The sequence below is a fragment of the Homo sapiens genome, chromosome 10 (assembly GCF_000001405.40).
Source record: "Homo sapiens chromosome 10, GRCh38.p14 Primary Assembly".
Classification (NCBI taxonomy): domain Eukaryota; kingdom Metazoa; phylum Chordata; class Mammalia; order Primates; family Hominidae; genus Homo; species Homo sapiens.
In genome coordinates this window covers 45,215,961-45,225,026 of record NC_000010.11, presented here as the reverse complement: position 1 = coordinate 45,225,026, position 9,066 = coordinate 45,215,961, and the positions used below count along the sequence as shown (strand labels likewise).

General features: G+C 43.3%; 1 long non-coding RNA gene across 1 annotated transcript in view; it reads left to right on the top strand.

The window, feature by feature from the left end:
- Positions 1-516: 516 nt before the first annotated feature.
- The window catches only part of LOC105378283 (uncharacterized), a 33,026-nt gene continuing 24,476 nt past the window's right edge, over positions 517-9,066 (top strand). The window contains exons 1-2 of the long non-coding RNA XR_001747443.2: positions 517-708; positions 6,211-6,380. This is a non-coding gene — a long non-coding RNA (uncharacterized LOC105378283). The remainder of the gene's footprint in view (positions 709-6,210; positions 6,381-9,066) is intronic.

The window sequence follows — 9,066 nt, the reverse complement described above, 5'->3', positions numbered from 1 at the left end:
AAGGGTCAGGGGTAAAAGCCAGCCTTAGAAACCTGTCAAAAAAGATTTCCAGCGGGGCGCTGGAGAAACGTAGACCACGCCAGAATTCCTGTCTGGAGAAGCTCTTCATAGGGCGAGAGGCTGCGTGCCCCACAAGGTCCTTCAGAGGCACATTGTGGGACTCAGGGTAGCAACTTCTGGCGAGTGGAGCCGCAGTTACAGAAGCGAAACATTCGAAGGCAATTTACTTCCAGCTTTCGCAACACCCACCCTCAGCCATTACCCTCCCTTGCGCAGTCGCGCCATAAACTTCTCTGCTTTCCCCCACAGCCCTCTGGGCTTCGACCCATCAACTGAACACGCGCCAAACATCGCGCGCACGCGCCAAGCTCGGCCCAATCAGAGTTCCAAACCGCGGAGTGTTCGCCACGGCGATAAATTAACCTCAGCGTGGCGCGGGGTCTCGAAGCCGAATAACGTACGTGATTGGCCAGCCTCTTCCATATTCTTTTAAGGGCGGAACCTGGCCCTGGAGCCACGCCTAGCGAGCTGTTCTCTTAATATGGGTAGGTTCGGGCGTGGAGCTGGCAGCTGCGCGGTGTGCCGAGACAGGGCGTGTTAGTTATTTAGTGCAGGTGTAGCAGGGAACGAGGGCATCTGTCGCAGCCGGAGTGCGTCCTGCCGAAGCCTGTGGTTGCACGCCCACCCTCTTAGGGGCTGCCCTCTGCGGTGAGTGTGTGCGGCGTCGCACTTGGGGTTGCTTCTCTCTGCGTGGCCGGACCGGGGCTGGACCCTTCCCAGTCCCCTGCCCTGCCCCATCCCCTCCCTGCACCCGGACGCCCTTCAGGCTGACGTGGCTTTGGTTTAAACCCTCTCCACACTTTTCCAGGTTGTCCGTTACCGACTGTAATGCTCCAGGTTTCTAGGCGTGATGCACAAGGCCTTTCCGAATCTGAACACTACCTTACCCTTCCATGCAGTTGGCATTTCAGCCATTCTGAATTTATTGTCCTTTCTGGACCGGAGCCTACTTGTTCAGATCTTGGTGCTTTTACGAATTCTGTTTTCTCTCACCCTCAGTCTTTTTCACCTGAAATCGTTTTACTTCTAAGAGTCAGCTTAGACATCACCACCTGTGTAAAATCTTCTCTGTCTGCACCAAGCTAACATAGCCACTCCCTGCCCTGTGAAGTTGGACGTGTGCCTTGTTTTGTGACTTCTGTCACGTAGGATTGTAATGATTTTTTTTTTTTTTAATCTAGAAGTCTCCCTTCTCCACTGGGACATTGGGAAGACAAAAGCAGTGCAATGTTCATGCTTGCATTTTTTTTTTTTATAATAGTGCCTGGAGCACAGTAGATGCTCAAAAATAGTTTGAGGAATGAAAAAAAATGAAAGAATGATGGATTAGGCCCATGAGTGTGTGAGATCACGTCCAGGATGTGACGAGAGAAGAAGGGAGATGTTCAGGAGACCCTGAAAGGTGATGGAAAGCCATTGAGACATGGAAAGAATGGCAGAGTCAGGTTTACTGTGAAGCCATGCTTTTCCCGGTTTGAAAACCTGCCTGGGATAGAGATTGGAGTTGATGCCATTAATACGTCTTGGCAGAAGGAAAAGGGAGGAAATGTAGTTGATTTGCGTTTCATAGCCTTTATGAAAATACGTGCCATTAAACTTAGGTTGTGTACTAGTTAGCTTCTCAGCCTTGGTGTGTGTTGGTCTCTTGCATTCCGTAAGGGTCCTCGCTGTCAGCAACAGAACAGATGCCTCTGGAACTGAAGATCTAGGTGTGTCCCTTGCTGCCCCTGCCCAGCTCTGCCATGATCATGGTCATTATTGGGAGCACTGTTGATACAGAGGAGAAAGAGAAGGGGATAGGGAAGATGATGCCTGGCATAGCGGGACCCTTGGCCCCCATGGCTTTCCTCCCTCCAGCACTCGTTCTCACTGGGTAGAAGAGAGAGGCTGCTTTCAGCAGAGGAGCTTTATACCCTTCAGCTTTTGAAGAGGAGACTTTATGTGATATTTATAAATGGGGAGAATGGCTTAGCTATTTCGGTTGAGCTCTATTATCTCTTTGAAGCCATTGCTTTTATTAGGGAAGAAAAGATAGCCACTTGCTTCCTGAAGTAAATTTCAGTATTGGGTACTGAAAAGCAAGATCATTCTTAAATTTTCCTAAAGAAGAAGCTAATGAAGAATAATAGTGCTTTTTGGGAAGCTGGGTGGAAGTGAATTTGGAGATGTCAAGAGTCCACTTCCTCTGGCTTCTGTAACATTGACCCAAGGCTGCTCTCTGCAAACTCCCTGACCTCGGGACTCCTCGGAGCCTACGGGGTTCCAGGATGCTCTTCGGAGCCTCCACTAGGGCTCAGTTCTCAGCAGTGCACACACAGTGACACAGTGCTTAATATATACAAGTATTAAAATATTTCACTTGGCTACATTAATTATAAGTGTAATTTTTTTTTTTTCCTGAAAACAGGGTCTCGCTCTGTCACCCTGGCTGGAATGCAATGGTGCATTCACAGCTCACTGTGGCCTCAACCTCCCAGGCTCAAGTGATCCTCCCACCTCAGCCTCCTGAGTAGCTGGGACTGTAGGTACACACCACCACGCCTGGCTAATGGTTTTATTTTTTTGTAGAGATGGGGTCTTGCTATGCTGCCCAGGCTAGGCCTCAAACTCCTGGGCTCAAGGAGTCCTCCCATCTTGGCCTTCCAACGTGCTGGCATTACAGACTTGAGCCACCACACCTTCCTCCATATTTCTTTACTGATAACATTTTAGCTGTTACCAGGAAGTTTTATATATTAGTATCCAGATTAAACACAGGGAACAATTAACTGGCATGTACAGAGAATAGTTCTTGCATCTCAAGCTTTCCGTTCATTATTTTAATTTATCAAAAGGTAAGAATTAAGCTTTGAAGATAACAGTAAGGTATTGTACTACTAAGCATATGAGATGCCTGTCTTTCTTCTTGGGAGAGTTGTATCTTCTAACGCAGCACTTCCTTAGAGACAGCAAATTACCTTTGAAAGCTGTTTTGAGGAGTTTAGGTACCAAGAGCTTTCTGATGGGGAAAACTTCTTAGGCTGGAGACAGATATTAGACAGGTTCTACAGTTTTCTTATAGTCCAGCCAGATTCTTGAAATGCTCAGTTCCTACCGTAAGAGGCAGAGGAATACAGGGAGCATATGAGGGGAACTTGGATTTGGATAGATGTGGGTTCAAATTCTGCTACTTAGTACTATGTAACCTTAGAGAAGCTACTTAACCTCCCTGATCCTCAAGTTCCTTAACCAATGGTAACCTAAGTAACCACTTCATAAGACTGGTTTAATGGTTCACTTTAAAGGCAATAATGCACATTAAATGTTAGTTATTAACTAGTTAGTGTTAGATGCAATAATGTACATTAAATGTTAACTATTAATGTGAATATCCAGCTACAGGCCCAAATGCCTCAGACATACCCAGTTCCAACATAGTCAATGGCCTGAACTAAGAATTTCGCTTCATTAACTAGACTGGGTAAGGCATTTGTAATGGTGTTGGGATTTTTTGTGTGGCTTATTAGAACCTGTAGTGTTTGGTACTTTTGCCTAGGGTTCTAATTGATATAGATAGCTATTTATTTAAAATTTGTCCTGATTTATTTCTTTTCCTTCTTTTTGTTTTAACATGACATGTAATTTGCACACACATTCTCAAAGCTTCCAAGAAGATCAGTGTGGGCAATAGAGTGAGACCCCATGTCTACAAAAATTTAAAAAAACAAGCTGAGGGTGGTGTGCAAGTCTGCAGTCCTAGCTGTTAGGGAGGCTACAGTGGGAGGATTGCTTGAGCCCAGGAGTTTGAGTTTGTAGTGAGCTATGATCCTGTTACTAGGCAACAGGACAAGACCTTGTCTCTTTAAAAAAAAAAAAAAAAAAGCTTCCAGGCATAATTGTAATGCTGCTGATTTTGTGTATTAAAGAGATTTCACTGTAGAAACTCTTTCCCAAGCAGCAACTGTCTTCAGCTGGTTGATGAAGCTGATTTTTTTTTGAAGGGCCCTGTAATCAGCTTCCATTTCCATAGAGACAGAATCCCAGCTGCAGCCAGAGGAACTTTCTTTCATTTCTCTTGTTTGTTTCCTAATTTTTTAATCTCTTCAAGTTTATTGCCCTCTCTGGGTGGTCAAGCCTTTATTATTTTTTTTCCAGGTTAGACTGACACTTTTCAGATAAATCTTGGAAAACAACCTGCTTTCAAGGAAGTGGTCTTTCTAAAGGACCAGGCAAAATAATAAACAAATATGATCATGGGTTATCTGGAAGAGCTGTCTCAAAATCTTGTTAAGCCTGGAACACATGCCATCCATGTAGACCTTCTTTGGGGGAAAGATAAAAGAGCTGGGGAGAACCTGTAATTTTAGCTATAATCTTTATTAAAATCATTTATTTTTTATTTATTTAGTTTTTTGAGACAGAATCTCGCTCTGTTGCCCAGGCTGGAGTGCAGTGGCATGATCTTGGCTCACTGCAGCCTCCATCCACCTCTTGGGTTCAAGCTATTCTCCTGCCTCAGCCTCCTGAGTAGCTGGGATTACAAGTGTGCACCACCACAGCCAGCTAATTTTTGTATTTTTAGTAGAGACGGGGTTTCACCATGTTGGCCAGGCTGGTCTCGAACTCCTGACCTCAAGTGATCCACCCATCTCGGCCTCCCAAAGTGCTGGGACTACAGGCGTGAGCCACCGTGCCTGGCCTTAAAATCATTTATGTTTTCACTCCTCTAAGTTGTGTGTATGTGCTCACCTTTGTGTTTTTAAACATGCCACATCTTGGCCTGAGAAGCTCTTTTCCTTTTTCTGTCTCCAGCTAGCCCTTGTCCCCTTGTCAGTTAGTGCTTGTTGAAAGAAGGAAGGACTTATTTATTCACATGACTCCATTTCACGTCACCTCTTCTAGGAAGCCCCTTGAGTATACTCAGTTCTGACCCACCATCCCATCCAACCTAACTGAAGTGTCTCTCTACTTGGCGTAGTACTTGGGAAAAATTTATTGAAGAAAGAATGTTACTGCTTTTAGTAAAGAGATTCAGGTTAGTTAATGAAGAAAGCATAGCTCTGGAGGAAGAGCATGTACTCTGTCTCCTTCCTGCAGGCTTCTTCCCGGTTTCCAGAGTGAAGTAGTTTCCAGCTATCAGGAACAAGATGGAACTGACAACTTCTATTTTTGATTGTAGGATAGGGTTAAAACTGGAAATGTTTCACTGAAACAAAAGTTGTAGCCTCTTTGGTATAACTGAGCCAGTAATGACATTTGACTGTTTTTCAGTCCTCTGACATTCCGGCCCCAGTGGCCACGGTGGCTTTTTTGTAAGCATCTTTTTTGTTTGTTACTAGCTGTGTAACCTTGGGCAAGTTGCTTAACCTCTCTGTGCCTCAGGTGCCTCATCTATAAATTGGGAATAATAAGAGCACCTCATAGGGTCGTTGTGAGTTAATATCTATAAGGGCCTAGCATACCACCTGGTACCTATTGGTCTTAATAATACTCGCTATTAGTACAGCCATGCATCACTTAATGATGGGGATATGTTATGAGAAATGCTTAATATGATTTTGTCATTGTGTGATCATCATATAGTGTCCCTAAACACACCTAGCTGGTGTAGCCTACTACACCCCTGGGCTAGATGGTATGCTTGTGACTAAGGCTTTTGCTTTTAGGCTACAAATCTGCACAGCATGTGACTGTACTGAATATCACAGGGAATTGTAACACAGTGGTATTTGTGTCTTTATAGAAAAGATACAGCAAAAATACAGTACCTTATTGTACTCTCATGGGAACACTGTCATATTTGTGGTCTATTGTTTGTTTGTTTGTTTGTTTGAGACAAGGTCTCACTCTGTTGCCCAGGCTGGACTACAGTGGCATGATCTTGCCTCACTGTAGCCTCAGCTTCCTAGGCTCAAGTGATCCTCCCACCTCAGCCTCCCAAGTTGAGACTACAGGCACTTGCCACCACTCCCGGATAATTTTTGTAGAGACTTGGTTTCACTGTGTCTCCCAGGCTGGTCTTGAACTCCTGGACTCAAGCGATCTGCTTGCGCTGGCCTCCCAGGTGGTCCATTGTTGAGTGAAACATAATTAAGCGGTGCATAACTATTTTAAAAACCGTTTTATCTGTGATGATATAACCAATGCAAAACAATATCTCTTTATTTCTAGGAAATCTTAGTGATGGTACTTCTCAGTGGTCTTTGCCCACCTGTCTCATGGTCTCATTGTACCCGCACACCCACTGCCTCATTCTTCATCTAATTCAGAATTCCCAGGAGAAGTTGGGTGGCTGGGCCCAGTGTGCTGGGGTCAAGAGGAACAGCTATGGCCACACACTGGTGAGTTCAGAGCTGTGGATAGCCCAGGGGGTGGCTGGGGGAACAGCAGCAGGATTTTTGTTGGGATGTGCTTGTGGCCAAGTTTCTGTTGAGAATGAAAGACATGCTTTGGAAACTGGTAATTTTTCCAGTAATAATTAAAATACTCTATGTCCTGCAATAACAATTTATTGAATGTATTTTTTATGATAGGCATTATGTAAGCAGAGCCTGGCAGTTTATATTGAATTTTATTATTTCTATTTTTTCAATTTTTTTATTTTTTGAGACAGTCTCTGTTGCCCAGGCTGGAGTACAGTGGTGCGATCTTGGCTCACTGCAACCTCTGTCTCCCGGGTTCAAGTGATTCTCCTGCCTCGGCCTCCCAAGTAGTTGGGATTACAGGTGCCCACCACCATGCCCGGCTAATTTTTGTATTTTTAGTAGAGACGAGGTTTTCCCATGTTGGCCAGGCTGGTCTTGAACTCCTGACCTCAAGTGATCTGCCCACCTTGGCCTCCTGAAGTGCTGGGATTACAGGCATGAACCACTGCACCCAGCCTTATATTGAATTTTAAGATTATCTAGTGACAAAGTATTATTTGCTGTGTTAAGATGACGATAAGGTGTTTATTAGATGTGAAGTAGTTATATTTTCACCATAAGAAACCATAACACCCACTGCTTTGCCATTATAACCAGTGCTACAGTTGGTATGGATAATAATTGAAAACCCTGCCAGCTTGGAAACTTGGATTTACAGGATGGTTGCAGAGCTTCAACTATTGAGGAAAACATAAGAAGCAACTTAATCTCCATCTGATCAGTATTAGCAGAACCCTCCCCACTTTCTTCATGGTTTCCTAAAAAACTATTAATCTTAACAGAATGGAATGAACAGATGTGAGATCTTTTTATACCATATATTAATTCATTTTCTTCTGTCTTCAAACTTAGAACATTAGCTTAAAACAGTACCAAGTATGGTGCTGGAAAAGATTGTGTTGGGGAAATATTGGTTCATGTATCAAACAGAATAAACGCGAATTACATTAAATGGTAGTTTTAGTTATAGTACCCATACCTCATAAATATCCTTTTTATTTCATCTATTTCTCTGCATATACATTAATTATTCCTTTGGACTCTGTGTAGCTTATAATTTTAAGGGTGAGGTCAAATGAAAGGCACACATCAGAACGGGCAATTACTTGCAACGGGGGTTTGGCCTCATGGTTTTTCAGGACATAGTGCAGACCAGAGAATGGTAATATGGTTTGCAATCTCAATATTTGAATGGTAGTCTATGTAACTTGGTTTTCTTAACAGCTGTAAGTGAGGCCGGGTGCAGTGGCTCACACCTGCAATCCCAGCCCTTTGGGAGGCCAAGGTGGGTGGATCACCTGAGGTCAGGAGTTTGAGACCACCCTGACCAACATGGTGAAACCCCGTCTCTACTAATAATATGAGAATTAGCTGTGCATGATGGCCCATGCCTGTAATCCGAGCTGCTTGGGAGGCTGAGACAGGAGAATCACTTGAACCCGAGAGATGGAGGCTACAGTGAGCTAAGATCACGCCATTTCACTCCAACCTGGGTGACAAGAGTGAGACTCTGTTTCAAAATAAATGAACAAATAATAAAACAGCTGTAAGTGCTTAAGTCTTTAGGCCGTGTCAAAGATACCTATATGATTTATTATATATTTGTATTCTATAAAGTTGTTCACCCTTTGTTAGGAGGATGAAAATAATAGATAATATGATCGAAATAACATGCCATATATGCATGGGGTGTATTAATACACACACACATTTACTATGTCCCAGGCATTGTGCTAAGCCCTCTGTATGGATTAATCTTTCAAACCTCACAGTTTAATTGTTATTATCTAATAGGTAAGGAAACAGATTTAGAGAGCTTCATTAACTTGCTCAAAGTCACCCAGAAAATAAGTGGTAGAGCCCAGATTTGAACCCACACCAGCAGACTTCAGAAGCAGTGTTCTTAGCTTATCCTGTTTCGCCTTACTCATTTCTGACAGTCATATACACATACCCTGTGGAAGAGAAGAAGATGAACAGCTAATTCAGCGAGCACGCTGAGTGCCTGTGGCCATCTGGTCATGTTCTAGAAGCTATGGTAGCTACCCTGTCTGGGCTAATGATTCTGTATCAATTTAGGAATGCATTCAGGGACGCAACCTACCTATCTTGATACCATTTGAACCAAGGAAACAGGAACCTTCATCTTCTGAAAATACTTACACATAGTTTTTAAAAAATCCTACTCCAAAAAGCTTTACTGAAGTATTCACATAGATAAGTGCATATATGACAGTACAAGTTGACAGATTTTCAAAGCAAGAAACGTTAGTAGGTTGGGAGCTCCTGCTCTTCCCAATCACTCTCCCTTTAAGTCATGAGACTGCCAGCATCGTGAGCTTATACTGGTAGTTCCAATGGAAATACATAACAGACTGCAAAGCTTTTATTTAACTCCTTCTATGCCTCATCTGGGCCTTCTCCCTTCCTCTCAGAACCCTGCCTCTCACAGATTTTGGTGATGATAGAATTAGAACATCTCACAATCACGTGTTTGGTACCCAACACACAATTAACAATACTAATTTTACTAATGTCAGTATTGCTAAAAACAATTGTTTTATGCATATGCTATCTTCATTCTCCCTCTTTGAAAAAAAAT